Consider the following 19,059-nt stretch of genomic DNA (forward strand, 5'->3'; position numbering starts at 1 on the left):
CAGGTGAGAAATCGCCTGGTCTGCTGGCAGCACGGTATTGCTGGAAGTTGCGGTGTGTAGGGGGGATGCAGAGGCTTGCAGGAGAAAAGTGAGAAGAAGGGCTGGAGCCGGCTCATCACGCGGCTAGTAGGCCCACTGAGGAGTGTGGACTTTATCATGGCAGTAGTGGGACCCTCTGAAAGTCCCCTCTGAATATGGAGTGGGCGGTGGGTTGGAGAGAATGTGCAGGCTGGAGGCAAGCGTGTCCGTGAGAAGGCCAAGGCTGTGCCCTGGGATTGGAGGATGGGCCCTGGGTCTGGGGATTGGGGATGGGGAATGGGACAGACTCAAGGCTACTTAGGAAGCAGTCTCAGTCGGCCTTGGTGGCTCCCTGAATGTGGGAGAGGAGGGGCAGGGAGGGCTCTGAGTGGCTCCTGGTAGCCAGTGGCCGGCTGATTGCCTGGCCTTCCTCTTGCCGTAGCAATGGAGGCCATATTTGGTTCTGTCAAAACCTCTCTAAGCTGAAATCATCTGATCTTCTTCCCAGCTTCCAGCCCCACACCCTCCCCACCACGTCTGGCTATGAAGCCAGCCTCCCCATCTCACGCCCACATTCCTATTCCTTTAGTCAGTCGCTCAACAAACCTTCACCGAGTCCCTACTATGTGCCAGGTGCTGTGCTGGAACCTAAGGGATACAGCTATGAACAAGACAGTCCTGCCTTTATGGAGCTCACAATCTGAAGAACAATCCGGATAACAGTGACCAACAAAGACGTGCAAAATGTCAGAGGGCCACAAACTGCAGAGGGTAAGGGGTGGTGGGAGGCAGGCGGGAGAGCATTGCATACATTTTACATGACATGGTCATCTTAATACAGACCCAGTCACAACTTACACTTTTTAGGCATTCATTAAGTCTCAGGCACTGTTCTAAGCATTTTACACGTGTGATCTCATTTTGCACTGCCACTGGAATGAGGGAAAAGTGGAATTCCAGAGTTTCATATCCCAGCTCTGCCACTACCATGAGGTCTTGTGCAAATTGCTTCTCTCTGTGCCTCCGTTTGCTCATCTGCACAGTAGGCATAGTGATTGTTTCTACCTGCAGGGTTGTGAAATGCGTGAGTGTATGTGAAGCGCTGAGACAGTGCCTGGCACATTAGTAAGTGCTGGACGTGTTTGCTCCTTCTAGGTCTACATTTTTAGCAGAGGGAATAGCAAGGGCAAAGGCCCTGAGGTGGGAAACACGTTCCAGGAATGGGAAGAAGGTTAGGACGACACAAGGGGAGTGTGGCGAGGGCCGAAGTTAGGGAGGCAGGGCCTGGGCAGGTTGTGGCTTCCCCTCCCCTGAGTCCTTTTCCTGACTCAGGTGTGTCTGCCCCTCCTCTGCCCCGCCCCCCTCTGCCCCACCCCTCCTCTACCCCGCCCCTCTCTGCCCCGCCCCTCCTCTATCCCACCCCTCCTCTACCCCGCCCTTCCTCTGCCCCGCCCCTCTCCTCTGCTCTGCTCCTCCCACAGCTTCCCGCTACCTGCCCCAGCCACTCCCGCCTCCTGGCTTGGTTTTCCAGGATGTCCACTGTGCAGCTGCTCCTCCTCTGTTCTCCAGCCTGAGGTGCCCGCCTCCCACCGCACCGCCTGCTGTGATCAGCCGGAGCCTTCCATCTTCCCCCAGAATTGCTTGGCGTCTGCTCATCCAGACCCTTCCTTTCACAAGGGAGCCTGGAGCCCAGAGAGGGTTGTGACTAAACCAGGGCCACACAGCGGTTCAGAGGCCAAGACTGGAGCCCGGATTTTCAGGACTCTGTGCACCATGGCTTCTAGTTTCCTAGGTCAGACACTTCCACCGATGTTGCTGTATCACAAATGTAACTTGAGTTGAGGAAGGCGGGAAGAGGCAGGGAACGAGGAAGGCACAATCCACCAACTAGAAATCACTTCTGTGAGCACATTGGTGTCCGAGCCTTTTTAATGCTAAGCACACTGTTCCTCAGAGAGAAACGGTGTGTGAGGCTGGGACACAGAGCGAGTAGGTGCTGTCCATTCGCCTTTGCTGTGTCCCTCCATTCCTACCCTGGGAGAGCCGGGGATCCCCATCCACTAAAGGCATGTCATGCAGGCCCCAGGGTCACACAAGGGAGTGATGGCACAGCCTGCCTCCGCGGCCCCAGGAGGAGTGAGACTGAGAAAGGGGAGGCAGAGAACTCAGGAGAAACATGATGAACTTCTAGGAAATCTGTATCTGGCCAAGCATGGTGGCTTACGCCTGTAATCCCAGCACTTTGGGAGGCCAAAGCAGGTGGATCACCTGAGGTCAGGGGTTCGAGACCAGCTTAGCCAACATGGTGAGACCCCCGTCTTTATAAAAATACAAAAAAATTTAGCCGGACATGATGGTGGGTGCCTGTAATTCCAGCTATTTGGGAGGCTGACGTGGGAGAATCGCTTGAATCCAGGAGGCGGAGGTTGCAGTGAGCCAGGATCACGCCACTGTACTCCAGCCTGGGCGACAGAGCAAGACTCCGTCTCAAAAAAAAAAAAAAAAAAGAAAAAAGAAAAAATCTGTATTCGTTTGCCAGGGCTGCCATAACAAAACCACAGACTGGGGGCTTAACCAGAGGTAATTTCCTCACAGTGCTGGAGGCTGGAAGTCCAAGATCAAGGCACCAGCAGGGGTGGTTTCCTCCGATGCGTTTCTCCCTGGCTCACAGATGGCCACTCTCTTGCTGCCTCTTCACAGGGTCACCCCTTTGTGGGTGCACAGCCCTGGTGTTTTCTGTGAATTCAAATTTCCCCTTCTTATGAGGGACACTAGCCAGATTGGCTAATGGCCTCACTTTAACTCATTTGAACCCCTTAAAAGCTCTACCTCCAAATATAGTCACACTCTGAGGTACTGGGGGTTGGGGCTTCAACGTATGAATTTTGGGAGGGTATAATTCAGCCCATAATGAAATCAAACACCAATCTATCAATGCTTATCCCTGGGCAGGAGTGCAAAGACTCAGGACTCCTAGCAGGGAGGCACCCTCAAGGGTAGAAACATTCTGGGAATATTTCCTGGAAGAGAGAAACTTGAAGCTTTGGTCAAAAGGGGATTAGAAGGAAGGACATTCCAGGCCAAGGGAACAGCATTAACAAGCGTCTAGAAACACATGCAGGGTGTGCTTTGGGGAACACAATGATGTAGTTGTCTAGAGGAGTCACTGGGGCTAATTCTTCTGGGGGTGGAGTAGAATGGGCGTTAAGTTGTGAAAGGCCTTGGATGTCAGGACAACTTGGGCTTGATTCCATGGCACTAGGGAGCCATTGATGGTATTTGAGCACAAGAAATATAAGAGTCTTGCTTTAGGCCAGAATTACGGAAATGACATGTTAGAGCAGTGGTTCTCCAGCTTGAGCATGCGTTGGAATCCTGGGGGTGGCTGGCTAAATCAGACGGCAGGACCTTATTTCCAGAGTTCCTGACTCAGTGGGTCTGAGGTAAGGCTGAGAGTTTTCATTTCTAACAAGTTCTCAGGGGCTGCTGTTGCTGCTGCTCTGTGTAATGTGAAAATCACCGGAAGTTTTGCTGGAAGGCAGGAGCAGGGGTGGGAGGTGAGAGGTATGGTTCCTCTCTGAGGCCTCTGAGGCACTAGCAGTGGAAAGGCCCCTCACTCCCATATTTTAGACAGCGAACTGAAGCTCGGAAGGCGACGTCCACAGTTGGGGTCGCTTCCAGGCCTTGAGCCTAGATTCTTGGGTCTAGGTTGCCATGGCACCAGGAGCCTGGAAAAGAAAGGCTCCTCAGGCACCCGCTCTGGGGTCCATCCGGCCCATGCTCTTGCAAGGGCACTGCGGTTTTTGCTTGGGAAACGGGTAGCAAACAGCTAAGACTCCCAGAACGTGGGAAGGAAAACGAGGCCCAGCAGAAGAGCAGGAGGGCGGCGCTTTCCGGTCGGGCCCCGGATTTAACTGTCTTCACCTACAGAGGCCCCACCCCACCCCCCCAACCCAGCCCCAACCCTGACCCAACCCTGCCCCAAGCCCGCCCCATCTCAGACTCAGCCCAATATAGCCACGCCCCCTGCGCCAGCCCCGCCTTCCCGGTTAAGAGTGCAGTGCCTGAATCCCAGCTCTCCATCCTACTGACTGGGTGACCTTGGGCCAGATACTCAACTTCTCTGTACTTCATTCTCTTCATCAGTAATTTGGGAACCGCCTATCTCATAGGGTTGTCATGAGGATTAAAAGAGTGTATATTTGTAAAGTCCTAGGAATACTGCCTATTAAGCACTGTTACTAAGTGCATAAGCTTCATCATTAGTGGTAATTGTTATCTTTGCCCTGTTGGAGCTTTGATTCACTTAGTAACAGTGCTATTAATTTTATTATTAAATTTTTAAATTTATTTTATTAATTTTTAAATTATGATCTATTTCAGACATTAAAAAAGAACATAAAAAATATAAAAACTGTGTCCCCATCACCCAGTTCAAGAACGAAAGCATATAAATGTTTTCTCGACCTGGCGCAGTGGCTCACGTCTATAATCCCAGCACTTTGGGAGGCCTAGGCAGGCGAATCACTTGAAGTCAGGAGTTCGAGACCAGCCTGGCCAACATAGTGAAACCCCACTTCTACTAAAAATACAAAAAATAGCCCGGCATGATGGTGTGTGCCTGTAATCCCAGCTACTCGGGTGTCTGAGGCAGGAGAATTGCTTGAACCCAAGAGGTGGAGGATGTAGTGAGCTGAGATGGTACCACTGCACTCCAGCTTAGGCGACAGAATGAATGAATGAATGAATAAATAAATAAATAAATGCTTTATCTCTACTCAACTTTAGTCAGAATCTTCTGCCTCCAACCCATCCCCTGCACTGCTCACCAGCTGTGAGAGATCCAGAGAAAATATAAGTAGAATCCTGCCACAACCCTGCTTGAAAATCCCCACCTATAAGATAAAGTCAGACATATCCCTTGACATCCAGGCCCTTCACACCTGACCTGTGCTGAACCTTCTGTTTGGTCTCTGCCACCCAAGACTAAAGTCCCCCTTAACATTTCTTAAGCATCCCCAGCTCTTTGCATATGTTGACCCCTCTGCCTGGGGTCTTGTATATCCTTTCTTCTCTCTCTTTTACTCACTTGAGGGGAGCACCCATTCTTTGGTCCCCCAAGGCTCCCTAGCCTGCCCACGGGGAATTTATTGTGTTTGCGTGCCCCTCCCCTAGACCGTAAGCACCTGGCAGCAGGCCCATGGCAACTCTTGATCTGCTCCTGGGGCAGGGAAGGCACTCATTACACCACACAGTTGTAGCTGAGTGTGTTTGGGGTACTGTTCTGGGATGTGGAGGGGGTGGTCATCTGCCAATTAATGCCCCATTCTTTTCATGGGGAACTTGCAGTCTGTCAGCTGTAAAAGTGCCGAGGAAGAAAATAAGAGTAGGCTGGGTGTGGTGGCTCACACCTGTAATCCCAGCACTTTGGGAGGCAGAGGCAGGTGGATCATGAGGTCAGGAGTTCGAGACTAGCCTGACCAACATGGTGAAACCCCGTCTCTACTAAAAATACAAAAATTAGCCAGGTGTGGTGGTGGGTGCCTGTAATCCCAGCTACTCGGGAGGCTGAGGCAGGAGAATTGCTTGAACCTGGGAGGCGGGGGTTGCAGTGAGCCGAGATCATGCCACTGCACTCCAGCCTGGGCGACAGAGCAGACTCTGTGTCAAAAAAAAAAAAAAAGAAAAAAAAGAAAAAAGAAAATAGAAGTAATTCAATAGGGTCCTCATTTTAAAGAAACTCCAGAAAGTGTGATTTCCTCTAAAGTGCCCGGTTTCCCCCTCTGAAACCACTTCCTGCTTCTTCCCCCTTCTTCCTTGGTCCCTATCTCCTCCCTCTGAGGACAGTGGGTTCCTCATGATCAGTGGATCTTCCCCAGGGACTTCTACATGGGACATGCAGCAGCCATGTCCTGGATCCAAAAGGCTTGTGGTTTTGGAGAAACCAAATGGATGCCAAGCCTGGCCCCAGACAGCCTGGGTACTAGGAGCAAAGAGGATGTGCTTCCAGACCAGAGGCTCCTGGCCTGTTTTCATTCTGTCAAATGTATTTGCAAAGCAGAATCTCTTTGAAGAGAGAAGAGAGCCTAGGTCTTCATTTAGGTAAAGGAGAAATAAATTGGTGAGTGCACTCAGACCCTCTGGTGGGAGCCGGGTGCTGGGGTGGAGTGGGGAGGGACACTTGCCTCTAAGGACATTTTGAAATTTGTTCTGTGTTCACATCTGACCTATTTTTAAAAAATGAACACAAATTGGAGCATAATCAGAAAAGCCAATTTCCAGTTTTGCACATACCAATGACCAGCCTGTTCACCTTGGTCTCTCAGAGACTCACTTTAATCACCACCCAGTTCTTAGGCTCCAAGAGTAGACACAAGAGGGACCTCTGTAAACTAGATGGAGCTGGGCACACTTAATTATTATTTACTCTTCATTCAGTCCCTCTCAGGAGACAATAGCTGAGGCCTTCACTATTGGCCACAGTGTGAGGGTCTCTTTGTGCGAGTCTGGGTGTGTATGTCTGGACATGAGTGTGTGAGTCCAGGATGTGTGTGTGTCTCTGTGTGTGTCTAGACATGTTTGGGTGGGGTGTGTGTTGGCTATGAAGTTGACCATTACAGGGTCTCTGCCCCAAGGAGCTCCTGGTGAAGCAGGATAGGAGGCCAAGTGAAAAACTTCCTTCAACCCTCTTGAACTCTGACAAGTGCCAAATAAAGGGCTGACAAATGTGAATGCACAGAGAAGGGAACACACCAACTCAAACAGGGGCCTTTGCACCGGCTCTTCCCTCTGCTTGAAATGCTCTTCCCCCAGGACCCTCAATGCCTACTCTTGCCTCCTCTAACTCTTTGAGCAAATGGCACCTTCTCACAAGGCCTACTTGGTCACCTCATTTAAATAGCAACTTTCAGGCTGGGTGCTGTGGCTCATGCTGTAATCCCAGCACTTTGGGAGGACGAGGCAGGAGAATCACTTGAGCCCAGGAGTTTGAGACCAGCCTGGGCAACATGGTGAAGCCCCATCTCTACAAAAAATATAAAAAGCAGCTGGGCATGGTGGTGCGTGCCTGTGGTCCCAGCTACTTGGGAGGCTGAGGTGGGAGGATCACTGGAGCCCAAGGAGGTCAAGGCTGCAGTGAGCAGTGATCGTGCCACTCTACTCCAGCCTGGGCAACAGAGTGAGACCCTGTCTCTAAATGAATAAATAAATAGCAACTTCATCCTGCACTCCCTGAGCCCACTCCTGCTTTATTTATATATTTATAGCCAATTATAGTCAATGCATTTCTTTTCCTTTTTTTTTTTTTTTTTTTTTTTTTTTTTGACAGTGTCTTGCTCTGTTGTTCAGGCTGGACTGCAGTGGCATGATCATGGCTCACTGTAGTCTTGACCTCCCAGGCTCAAGTGATCCTTCCACCTCAGCCTTCCTAGTAACTGGGACCACAGGCACATGCCACCATGCCCAGCTAAATTTTTAATTTTTTTTGTAGTGAAGAGGTCTCGCTGTGTTGCCCAGGCTGGTCTCAAACTCCTGAACTCAAGCAATTAGGATTACAAATGTGAGCCACTATACCCCACTGCATTTATTTTCAAAGAGAGCAAAGTTACCTATACTCAACTAACTTAAAATGCTATATGTTTTACTCACTTATTTTGTTTTATTATCTGTTTTCCTCATTTCCTACATTAGAATGAAAACTCCATGAGGGATGCTACAATGTTTGCTTTGTTCACAGCTGTGTCTCTAGTGCCTGCAACAGTACCTGGCACATAGTAGGCATGCAGGAGGTATTTGTGGCTATGGTGATAATAGGGTGGGTGTTTGGGGTAGATGGTAGCAAGGCCACAGACATACCTCTCTATTCTGGAGGGGTGGCTGGAGGTCTGAGGTGGCAGCCGTGGACTGAAGGGGCACCTGTGATGTGGGTCTGCTGTGGAATCTGATGCAGATGAAGTGGTGGAGGCAGAAAGAGTCCAACAGGCACAGGGAAGAAGATGTGGCCTGAGAAAACCTGAGACATTTTGGAGGCCATTCTGCATGCCCCAAATTCTAACTCAGTGCCCATCTCCTCCCTCTGCCAGAGCCTATTGATACCAGGGAGGGAATAGTCAGGGGACACATTTGGAGGTTGGGGGAGGTGCTGGTGGACCCATTTGTGAGAACCGAAGGCCACTTGAGGGTGTCTTGGCTAGGGGAAAGTACCTGGCTGGGTAGAGGGCATTTAGAAGGGAGGAGGCAAAGGAAAGCCTGCAGTGGTGGCTGGATTGTAGGGTTGGTGAGAACAGACATGTTTCTCTGAGCGTTGGAGAATGTGAGCAAGGCCCAGGACCAGAGAGTGCTCACTGGACCAGGGGCCACAGAAGAGGCCTGGCTGGAAAGGGCTTCAAAGGCCAGGCCAGGGAGTCAGGATAGAATCCCAGGGGCCCCCAGGAGCCCCTGACGATCTGGAGCCAAGCGTAGGAGGTGGCAATGAAAGGAAGTTGTATTCAGGAAGAACTGCCACTCAGGGGTCTTTCCCAATGCCAGCTGCCCAAAGAGGAGGAGGAGACATGCTCTCTAAGCCTTCTTATAGACAGAGAAGGGGGATAGAGAGGCTCTTTCCCTTTGGCAGTTCATTCATTCGCTCTGTCACTCATTCGCTTTATTAAGCACGTAATGTGTGCTGGATTCTATTCTGGAATCGGGGGATGCCACCAGAAATTAGCCCTGAATTTTGACCCCATGCAAGGCAGAGGGTGCCCCAGAAGAGGTGTGCCAGCTCTGAGGAGGCTGTGGTTGTGCCCAGCTGGAAGACCAGAGAGGGCTTCCTGGAAGGGGAAGCATCTGAGCTGGGCCCTCCATGATGGTCAGCGTTTGAAAGTCAGTTGTTCAGGAGGAGAGGATGGTTATACTCCAGAGCTCTTCACCAGGAGGTTTTACCATATATCGCTTCATTTAATTCACCTAGCAAACTCGGAGATGGCGAAGGCAGAGGAAGTGACTTATTTTACAACATGAGGAAATAAGGATCTTGGGACCAAGCCCAGACAGGGTAACTGTTCAGCCCCAGGTCACCAGACTGAGCAGCCGAGTTGGGACTAGAACCCAGAGCTGTTGGACTCCCGGCCAAGTGCTCATCCTGTGGGTTCACAGAAGTCACTGGTTGTTTTCCAAGGTGCTGTGGAGAAGCTGTCAGCAGATTTCTAACACGAAGGATCTTGTCTGTCCCCTCCCTGACTCCAGAGAGGGCCCAAGACAGGGACCAGTGACTTACTCCAGGCTCCTCACTGGTTGGTCAACAGTAGACAGTACCCAGAATAGGAGAAAAAAAAAAAAAAAAAAAAGGAAAGAAAGAAAGCATCAGACTTTGAGTTTGAGGACTTGGGGCTGATCCCAGCTGGTCCCATGTCCTGGCTGTACAGCCTTGGGCAAAGCACTTCATCTCTCTGGGCCCTTCAGTTTCCTGCTCTGTCAAATAGGGACAATGCTCACTCCAGTACTCCCCACCTCCAGGGAGTTGAGAAACTGAAGCCGTAATGGACATGACCCACATAAACATTAGCTACTATTATTTATAAGAAACTGGGGGTTGGCCATACCACTAGGATGATGACGAGGACACTAGGACACTGCTCCTACTGCAAGCTAACTTAAACTGAGCCCTGGCCAGGCCCAGTGGGAAGTGCTTTACATACATTAATTTATCCAGTAAAACGAGGACTTGAAAACATTGGCAGTAAAAGCATCATCAATATGTAAAGATAATGATGATGATAAAGGTATCTTGCAAAGCAATGTAATTAACAGATTCACAAGTTTTTAGGAGCAATTGGGGGCCATGAAGACTGTGTCCCCTGGCCCCTTGACACAACTCTGGGCCTTTGCTTCCTTCATCCTCGGGGTACAGGCAGCCAGCCCCTCACTCTCAGCCCCCTAGCCCCTGGAGGTTGTTCAGGCCTCAAGCCAGGCCAGCCTGAAGATTCCTATTCCCAGGCAGCTGGGCTGTGGCCCCAGGAGGGCGGCCAACAAGGGGCCTAGTGGCTTATCGCTCTGCAGCGACTCCCCAGCAGGCAGACTGGCTCCGCTGCTGCAGAGCAAAGCTGATAAAGAGGACAGAGCCTGGTGTTTACTGGAGCCGAGTCTGGGGAGAGTTGGGCCTCCCAGGGGCGGCCCTGTCTCCTCTGGGAACAGACTGTCTGTTTGCGGAGATACCATCACATTCCTGCAGCCTTGGCCACCCCAGGATGGATTGGGGGAGGGAGTGGCGGAGATTGGTGGGGAGGAGGCGATATGACAGCTGCGGTCCTCTGTTTCCCTGGGGCCAATGCTGAGGAGGCCTGAACTGGGTCCTCCAGGGGGATTCAGGTTTCCCAGCCTGATTACCAAGTACTTTAGATCATTAATAGCCAACATGGGTGCAGTACTCTACAAAGTATTTTCTCAACATTTACCTTTGTGGGTCTTCCAGATAGCCTTCCATTCACATAGTCTGGGGTAATGTTTCCCAGAAGGGAAATGCCCAGCAAGACTGGGGCAGGGGACCTGAGTGACCCACAGCTGACCAGGCCAACTCATATTCATAGCTAACACTTTTGAGTACTTACCATGTGGCATGACTGCAGAGGCACTTAAGGTATATTAACTCATTTAATCTTTGCAACAGCCCTTATGAGGTAGGTGCTATCATTACATTCATTTTCCAGACGAGGAAATTGAGTCAGACATAGGCTAAGTAGCTTGCCTAAAGTCACACAAACAGAAAATGGGAGTGCTGGGATTTGAACCCCAGCAGCATGGCTCCAGAATCCCCACTGTAACCAATGTGCTACACAACCATCTTGAAGCAAGCTTGTGATGTATTTCTATTCTGTGTGCAAAGGCTGTGGGCATTTGCAGCTGCAGGAGGTGGCCTAGCTGGCTTTGGAATTAGACCTGTGTGCTACTCCCAGCACTGACACTAATGAATGCTGCTGTGGCAGAATCAGAACTCTGTGAGTCTCAGTTTTCTCACCTGGAAAGTGAAAACAGCACCTGCCTTAGCAGAGAGTGTGAGATGTTGTATGTGAAAGATCTGGTACATAAGAGATTTTCATTAAAGAAGTACTATGACTACTTTGACAGAGGCACTGGGGAGGTGGCCTGTCAAAAATGGAAGCTTCAGAAGAGTATCTCTTAAAAGAGAGGCCCAGTTACTCAGTTATGGGAGCACAGAGGAGGGGTGACTTCTAATAGAAGGGATCAGGGTGTCCTCAAAGCAGGCAGCATGAGCAAGTGGTTGGGACTCTGGCCTTCAGAGTTGGGCAGACTCGAGTTCAAATTCCTATATCCAGCCCTTACTCACTGTGTGACCTTGGGGAGTTACTTCTTTGAATACATAAAATGAGAACGCTAAAAAAAACCCTCTCCATAGGGTTGTGAGGAATGGATGAGATCATTCAAAGGTCAAAGAGACCTTCTGGGAAGAAGCTCTGGGCACAATGGCAGGCACCTAGTAAGTGCTCAATAAATGCTTCTGCCATTATTGTTTACAGGGGGGTAAGGGGGTGGGAGTGAGGTAGGGTGGTGGGCAGAGTAACGGCCCCCTAGAGATGTCATGCCCTAATCCCTGGAACCTGTGGATGTGTTAGGTTACATGGCAAAGGGGAATTAAGGTTGCAGGCGGAATTAAGGTTGCTAATGAGCTGACTTTGAGATGGGGGAAATTGTCTTGGGTTATCTGATGGGACCCTGCCTAATTGCAAGAGTCCTTACAAGTGGCAAAGAGAGGCAGAAGAGGCAGTGTCAGAGTGATATGAGTTTTCAAGAAAGGCTCTACCAGCCATTCATATCTTTGAATTGGAGGAAGGGGCCACAAGCCAAGGAATGCAGGCTGCCCATGGAAGCTGGTCAAGGCAAGAAAACGGATTCTCTCCTAGAGCCTCCTGAAAGGCATGAAGCCCTGCCAATGCTCTGATTTTAACCTGATGACACCCATTTTGGACTTCAGACTCCCAGAACTGTAGGAAAGATAATAAATATGTGTTGTTTGAAACCACTAAGTTCATAGTAATTTGTTACAGGAGAAAAAGAAAAGTGATACAGAGTGTGAATTGGTCCTTGAAGACTGGCAGAATGGTCACAGGCCAAGGTGGGGCAGGACAGCACAGGAGGAGGAAACTGAGCCTTCAAAGGCCTGTGGATGGCCGGTTGCAGAGGCTTATGCCTGTAATCCCAGCATTTTGGGAGGCCAAGGCGGGTGGATCACCTGAGGTCAGGAGTTCGAGACCAGCCTGGGCAACATGGTGAAACCCCATCTCTACTAAAAATACAAAAATTAGTTGGGCATGGTGGCGGGTGCCTGTAATCCCAGCTACTCAGGAGGCTGAGGCAGGAGAATCTCTTGAACCCAGGAGGTGGAGGTTGCAGTGAGCCGAGATCACGCCATTGCACTCTAGCCTGGGTGACAGTGTGAGACTCAGTCTCAAAAGAAAAAAAAAAAAGGCCTGTGGGCTTGAAAGCACAGGCATTTCAGGGGAACACTTGGGAAAGCTCATGTGGTTCTTTGCAAAAATGGACATAATTCTCCATGCCTGCCAGTACCTATTTTGCAATGTAACTTGGTAACTGTTCCCATCAAGAGATAGAGTCTATTTCTCCACATCTTGAATCTGGGTTTGGCCCTATGACTTGCCTTGGCTAACTATATGCAAATTCCAAGCTTGGGCCTCAGGAGACTGTACACTTTTGCATTCACTCTTGCTGTTCTTAGGTGGAACATTGCCACCACCTAAGATCAAGCCCAGTGTGACCAGCAGCCTTGAAAATGGCTCCTGGCATGAACGCCCTGTGTGATCCTCTCCCATTGAGTATGGGCTGCACCTAGTGACTCGCTTCTCACCAACAGAATATTGCTAAAGCGATGGGTTGGCTCTTCTGATATTGGGTTTTAAAAGGCTGTGTGACATCCATCTTGTGGTCCCTTTTTTGTTCCCTTGCTGAGGGGGGTCACTGTTCCCTTGCCAAGGGGGTCCACTGCCATGTTGTGAGCTGCCCTATGGAGAAGCCCAAATGGCAAGGAAATGATGTCTGTCCCCAACAGCCAGTGAGGACCTGAGAGCAACCAAAGGCACATAAGTGAACTTGGAAACAGACCCTCCCCATCTGATACCTTGACTGTAGCCTTGTGAGAGAGGCTAAGCCATAGTATGCAACTCAGCAGCACTTGAATTCCTGACCCACAGAAACTGTGAGAAAATAAATGTGTATTGTTTTTAGCTGTCCAATTTGTTACACAGCAACAGATAACGAATACATCTCTAGGCTAGTCTGCTGGATGATGAGTGACATATGGCCTACTCACTTCCTTTCACCCAGCCAACACCCAGACAACCACCAGGCAAGTGAGTGAGACATCCTAGACCAGTCTGCTGTCAGCTGCTTGCAGACATGTAAGTGAGCCAAGCCTGGCCCTGATCAGCAGAACTGGGCAATAACAGAAGTTGTTGTTTTAAGCCACTGAGTTTTGGGGGTGATTATTTTACCCAGAAATAGCTGACCTTTATAGCCAGAGGGTTATGCGTGTAGCAGGAACTGAAACCAGGAAACTGGGTAGGGGGCTAAACATGGAGGGCTTTGATGATGGATTAAGGCATTTGGAATGGGGGCAGGTTTTTGAGCAGGAGAATAACATCAGGATCAGAGCTGTGGTTAAGGAAGTTTCTTGAGCAGCAGGGAGTGGCATGAATCGCAGGCAGGGGAATCATTTAGAAGGCTGCTGTCATGAGGCAGATGAGCAGTGTTGGAGGCCTGAAATTGAGTAGAGGGTTGAAGTGTGGAGAGAGTTAGAAGTGGAACCTATAGATCCTATTCTGTGTGGAATGGGGGACAGGGCAGTGGGAGAGTGGAAGTTGACACCCAGGTTTTGACCCTGGGATACTGAGTGGTTGGAGGTGCTATTGACAGAGATGGGGAAGTCAAGATGGGGGATAGGGAGATGCATGCTATTTGGTGGACTGAGGGTTAAGTGCCAAAGAGACCTTCTGGGAAGAGGCCCAAGAAACAGTGATTCAAGACTCCAAAGGGAGCTCTGTCCCAGCCCCGTGTATTGATCAGGTTTGAGGAAGGATAGAGGATAGCACCTTCTGGCTGGGTAACTGAGGGAGCTGGGCAAAGGATTATTTGCAAGAGTGTGGGAAGGGTTTGAGAATTGCATTAAGGGATGTTGAAGTATCCTGGGGCTGGCAATGATGGGGAGCTTGCTTCTTCTTCTAGGCCCGAGAAGGCAAGGGAGGGAGCAGGAACCAGAACCAGAGGAGGTAAGAGTATGGAGAGTGCTGCCTGATGGAAGCTGTGGCCTTTGGTCAAAGATACAGCAGACTTATGGCAACCCAGCAAGGAGGGCACCAGGAGAACAAACACTTTGACCTCTCCCTCTTCCCATTCTTTAAGGACTTCTTTGGTATTCCTCATTAGCTAAGTCCACCCTGAAGACAGACAGCAAGGTTGCCTGTAGATGTGGCCCACACATCAGCCTTGCAGGTCAGAATGGGTGGAGAAGGGGAGGGCCACACAGAAGATACCTAGCCACCTAACACATGAAATTCCTTTAGCCTGTGTCAGCTGATGACCCTATTCTGGGAAATGAGATTTGAGGAGAAAGCTGGTAGGGAGTTTCTGGGTAAAAGTTTTTTACTCTTAGGAAGAAGACAGCAGGAGAGATGTTCTTCAGGGTGTCTGATGTGATGCCTGGAACTGCAGCAGCCATTTTGCAACTGTGAGGGAAGCCAGTGGAGTCAAAACTGACCTACTGTGGATGGAAATACAAATAGACAGAAAGAATTAGGTTCTTGATAACTTCATGGAGCTTCTCTAAGAGCCTGTCCTACATCCAGGTTTTTTTTTTAATGAAATAATAAAGATTCTTGTTGTTTGAACCACTTTCAGTTGGATTTCCAGTTACTTGCAGCCCAAAGCCTTCTTTTTAAATTTTTTACCCAAAGGCACCAAAACATTCTAATGGACACAGCTGCCATCTACCATGTTCAAGCCCCTGTGCAAGCTCTCTTAGCTTCCACTGAGTGCAGGTCAAGCCTTCCTGTTTCTTCTGCTGACCACAGATTTGCACTAACTGCATCAGATTCAGTGAGAATTTCAAATCCTTTTTCAATCTATGAGAAAATAAACAGACAGAAATAGGTCATGGGGGTGTTCTTCCCTTAACTTAGGAGAAACTGAGGAGAAATCCAGCTAAAGGCAGTGGAGATAGTGGGGGCATTAATCTGAGTCTCTGGGATGGTCAGGAGAGAGAGCAAAGGTAAGAGACTGGTTCCCATTACCCACCTCCCTGAGAGGTGTGGTGCATTCACAGAGACCCAGGTTCTGAGCCTTCATTTCCCTGTCCATCAGCTAAAGGGTAAAGTGGGCCCCACCCAATCTGGACATGCATCATTAACACAGACTCCCCACGTGGGTCAGGTGAGTAGGCCCCTATTTTTCAGCATGGACTCCCCAGCTTCAGTACTGTTGTATCTTCCCCCATCCAGGTTTTGCAGGACTTGCCTATATCCAGGCGTCAGAGTGAGCCCAGGGAAGGTTGGCCATGATTTGGGGTCTTCAGAGAGAGCCAGATGGAAATAGGAGAGGAAGCTGCTGTCACAGGGGTCACACTTGGCTCACCAGAGAAAGTCGCTTGGCATCAGCAGCTGGTATGATGGATTTACCATGCCTGCCTTGCCCACAATGGAGTCCCAAAAGGTGGCCATCATCAAATGACTGCACCCATAGTCTTCTGTGCTTCACCCTCTTCTGTGGGCTTCCCTGGCCTAGCATGCTCCCTACACCGCTGGACTCTTCTCCATCTAAGTCATGTCATGGAAACCCCTCCAGAGCTGCAGACAGACAGATCTGGCTCTGAGTCTCTCTACTATCCCTTCTTAGATGTGGGGCAGGAAACTAGCCTCTGAGATTCTTTTTTTTTTTTTTTAACCTGTAAAGGAGGCTCTTACACTAATTACCTGAACAAATTTATTGTGAGTTTCACATGAGATAATGACTAATATTTTCAAAGCATAACCATATAGCGTCCCATTCTTTCAATATCCTTCTCTCCACTAGAGGTCAGCGGGGCAGGAAATCTGACAAAATCATCCATTTATGAGGCATAAAGATAATAATAGTGTTAATAGCTAAAATTCAGTGGACGTATACTGTGTGCCAGGTACCATTCTAAGCACCTTATTTATATTGGCTCAAAGAGACTCAAGTATTATCTCCATTTTACAGATGAGGAAACCGAGGTTAATTTGCCTACAGTAATACAGGTATGAGAGGGCAGAGCTGGGCTTTGACCCCAGGCAGTCTGGCTCCAGAGCCTGTGCATTTACCCGCTGTGCTGCCTCAGAGCTACCAATGGTGTTTGAGGATGGTACCGACCCCAGTCGAGAGGCTTCTGTAGAGGCAGGTAGTATAGGGTAGTCAGGGGGCAAAGGCCTGGCAAGTTGTCAGAACTGGCTTCAAGTCCAGGGCTACTTCTTCCTAACTGTGTAACATTGGGCAAGTTAGTTAACCTCTCTGAGCATTGGTTTACTCACTAGAAGTGGTAAGGTTTGAATTAAATTAAAAAACAAAAAAACCCAACCCTGACACAAATCCTGGTCCTAAGAGGCTGTCCTCAAAGGACTCCACTCCACCCCCTCTTCCCCCATTCATGGCTGGGTGGTTGAGGGGGGCTGGGAAGGGTCCACAAGGATCCATAAGGGAAGACCATCCAATCAGAGGAGGCATGTGAGCTCCCTGAGAGCAGGGGCTTGACTTGCCATCTAGAAGGCTCCTCGCATGCCTCTGACATATGAATGTGTGAAAGAGTGAAATAATACATGGAAAAAAGAATGAGTAGGAGGGCTAGAAAGAGAGGGAAATTTCACCCACAGAAAAAAACCCGAAGGAGGGTTTTGTACAATTCCAGTGATCAATACCCAGGATGCAAGATGACAGGTCAGTCAGGATAAGCTAGGTAATGCTGTGGTAACAAACTCCAGTCCCAGCGGATTTCCAACAAACATGTTTATTTCTTGTTTATGCACTATAAGGCAGGTTACCAGGGTGTTCTGTTCTTCCAAGTTACTCGAAGATCCAGCTGAAGGAAGCTCCACGTTGACATACTTTTATAATGGCAGCGGCAGAAAAAAGAGGATGTGACAAACCCCACACTGGTTCTGAAATTTCTGCCCAGAAATGTCTTACATCCCTTCTGCTCATCCTTTCTGCTCATATTTCATTGGTCAAAACAAGTTATATGGTCACACTTCAAGTGGATGGAGAAAAGTTCAAGTGGATGGAGAAGTACAGTCCTTACAGAAATGACAGGACTGGCTGTTTTCTTTATTATTATTATTATTTTTTGAGATGGAGTCTCACTCTGTTGCCAGGCTGGAGTACGGTGGTGCGATCTCGGCTCACTACAACCTCCACCTCCCGAGTTCAAGTGATTCTCCTGCCTCGGCCTCCCGAGTAGCTGGGAGTACAGGTGTGCACCACCATGCCCAGCTAGTTTTTGTATTTTTAGTAGAGACAGGGTTTCACCATGTTGGCCAGGATGGTCTCAATGTCTTGACTCGTGATCTGCCCACCTTGGCCTCCCAAAGTGCTGGGATTACAGGCGTGAGCCACCGCGCCCGGGGAAGGACTGGCTGTTTTTTGTTTGTTTGTTTGCTTTTTGTGTTTTGTTTGTTTGTTTGTTTCAGATGGACTCTCGCTCTGTCGCCCAGGCTGGAGCGCAGTGGTGCGGTCTCTGCTCACTGGAAGCTCCGCCTCCCGGGTTCACGCCATTCTCCTGCCTCTGCCTCCTGAGTAGCTGGGACTACAGGCGCCTGCCACCACGCCTGGCTAATTTTTGTATTATTAGTAGAGACGGGCTTTCAAGGGTGGTCTTGATCTCCTGACCTCGTGATCCACCTGCCTCGGCCTCCCAAAGTGCTGGGATTACAGGTGTGAGCCACCACGCCAGACCCAGGGCTGGCTGTTTATAACAGGCCTAATCACCACCATTCGTGGTATAGGCCAGAGGGCCACTTGGGCTGAATGCAGCTCACAGACATGGTTTGTTTGGCCTGGTCAGTATTTTAAATATTTTTATGTGGTTTCTAACATTTATGACATCATAGTATGTCACATTCAAATCTGTATACCTGACTAGGTTTGAAATTTGGACTATTAGGTGACAGTGAGTATCTTAGTCCATTCAGGTTGCTATAATAAAATACCATAGACGAGGTGGTTTATAAACAGCAGAAATTTATTTCTCACAGATCTGGGAAGTCCAAGATCAAGGCACTAGCAGATTCAGTGTCTGGTGAGGTCCTTCCTGGTTCACAGATGGCTGTCTTTTTGCTGTGTCCTTACTTGACAGAAGGTGGAGGGAGGTCTCTGGAGCTTCCTTTATAAGGTCACTAATCCCATTCAAGAGGGCTCTACCCTCGTGTCCTAATCACCTCCCAATGCCCCACCTCCTAATATCATCACATTGGTGATTAGGTTTCAGCATGTGAGTTTTGCAGGGACACAAACATTCAGTCCATTGCAGTGAGCCCAGTTACTTTGACATGGATTAAGTTGGGCCAATTATAACAGAAAAACTCAAAATAGCAATAGCTTAAATGAGATGGATGCTTCTTTCTCATATAAAAGAAGTCAGAAGATTTCAGAAGATTAATAGACAGCTCAGGCCTGGCATGGGAGACTCAAAAAGCCATCAGGGACTTATGCTCCTCTCTCTTTCTGTTCTTCCATCCTCAGCGTATGGCTTCCTTTTTTTTTTTTTTTTTTGAGATGGAGTCTCACTGTGTCACCCAGGCATGATCTCGGCTCACTGCAACCTCCACCTCCCGGGTTCAAGCAATTCTCCTGTCTCAGCCTCCTGAGTAGCTGGGATTACAGGCATGTGCCACCACACCCAGCTAATTTTTGCATTTTTAGTCGAGATGGGGTTTCGCCATGTTGCCTAGGATGGTCTCGAACTCCTGATCTCAGGTAATCCACCCGCCTTGGCCTCCCAAAGTGCTGGGATTACAGGCGTGAGCCACCGTG

At 49.3% G+C, this 19,059-nt stretch overlaps 1 long non-coding RNA gene across 1 annotated transcript in view, besides 4 other annotated features; it reads left to right on the forward strand.

Annotated features, from left to right (window-relative positions):
• Positions 1–16,047, forward strand: part of LINC01169 (long intergenic non-protein coding RNA 1169) — a 103,609-nt gene extending 87,562 nt beyond the window's left edge. The window contains exons 4-5 of the long non-coding RNA NR_110372.1: positions 14,248–14,291; positions 15,519–16,047. This is a non-coding gene — a long non-coding RNA (long intergenic non-protein coding RNA 1169). The remainder of the gene's footprint in view (positions 1–14,247; positions 14,292–15,518) is intronic.
• Positions 3,142–3,700: an enhancer, noted in NCBI's record as "H3K27ac-H3K4me1 hESC enhancer chr15:66965231-66965789 (GRCh37/hg19 assembly coordinates)". NCBI's record gives its function as "activates a minimal SCP1, AML or CMV promoter by ChIP-STARR-seq in naive H9 embryonic stem cells {active_cell/tissue: H9 hESC(naive)}" and the evidence as "EXISTENCE:reporter gene assay evidence [ECO:0000049][PMID:30033119]".
• Positions 3,701–4,258: an enhancer, noted in NCBI's record as "H3K27ac-H3K4me1 hESC enhancer chr15:66965790-66966347 (GRCh37/hg19 assembly coordinates)". NCBI's record gives its function as "activates a minimal SCP1, AML or CMV promoter by ChIP-STARR-seq in naive H9 embryonic stem cells {active_cell/tissue: H9 hESC(naive)}" and the evidence as "EXISTENCE:reporter gene assay evidence [ECO:0000049][PMID:30033119]".
• Positions 7,683–8,183: an enhancer, noted in NCBI's record as "H3K27ac hESC enhancer chr15:66969772-66970272 (GRCh37/hg19 assembly coordinates)". NCBI's record gives its function as "activates a minimal SCP1, AML or CMV promoter by ChIP-STARR-seq in primed H9 embryonic stem cells {active_cell/tissue: H9 hESC(primed)}" and the evidence as "EXISTENCE:reporter gene assay evidence [ECO:0000049][PMID:30033119]".
• Positions 9,980–10,274: an enhancer, noted in NCBI's record as "tiled region #4382; K562 Activating DNase matched - State 5:Enh". NCBI's record gives its function as "activates a minimal TATA promoter and a strong SV40 promoter by Sharpr-MPRA in K562 cells {active_cell/tissue: K562}" and the evidence as "EXISTENCE:reporter gene assay evidence [ECO:0000049][PMID:27701403]".
• Positions 16,048–19,059: the final 3,012 nt, after the last annotated feature.

This window comes from Homo sapiens, chromosome 15 (assembly GCF_000001405.40).
Source record: "Homo sapiens chromosome 15, GRCh38.p14 Primary Assembly".
In the NCBI taxonomy this organism is placed as follows: Eukaryota; Metazoa; Chordata; class Mammalia; order Primates; family Hominidae; genus Homo; species Homo sapiens.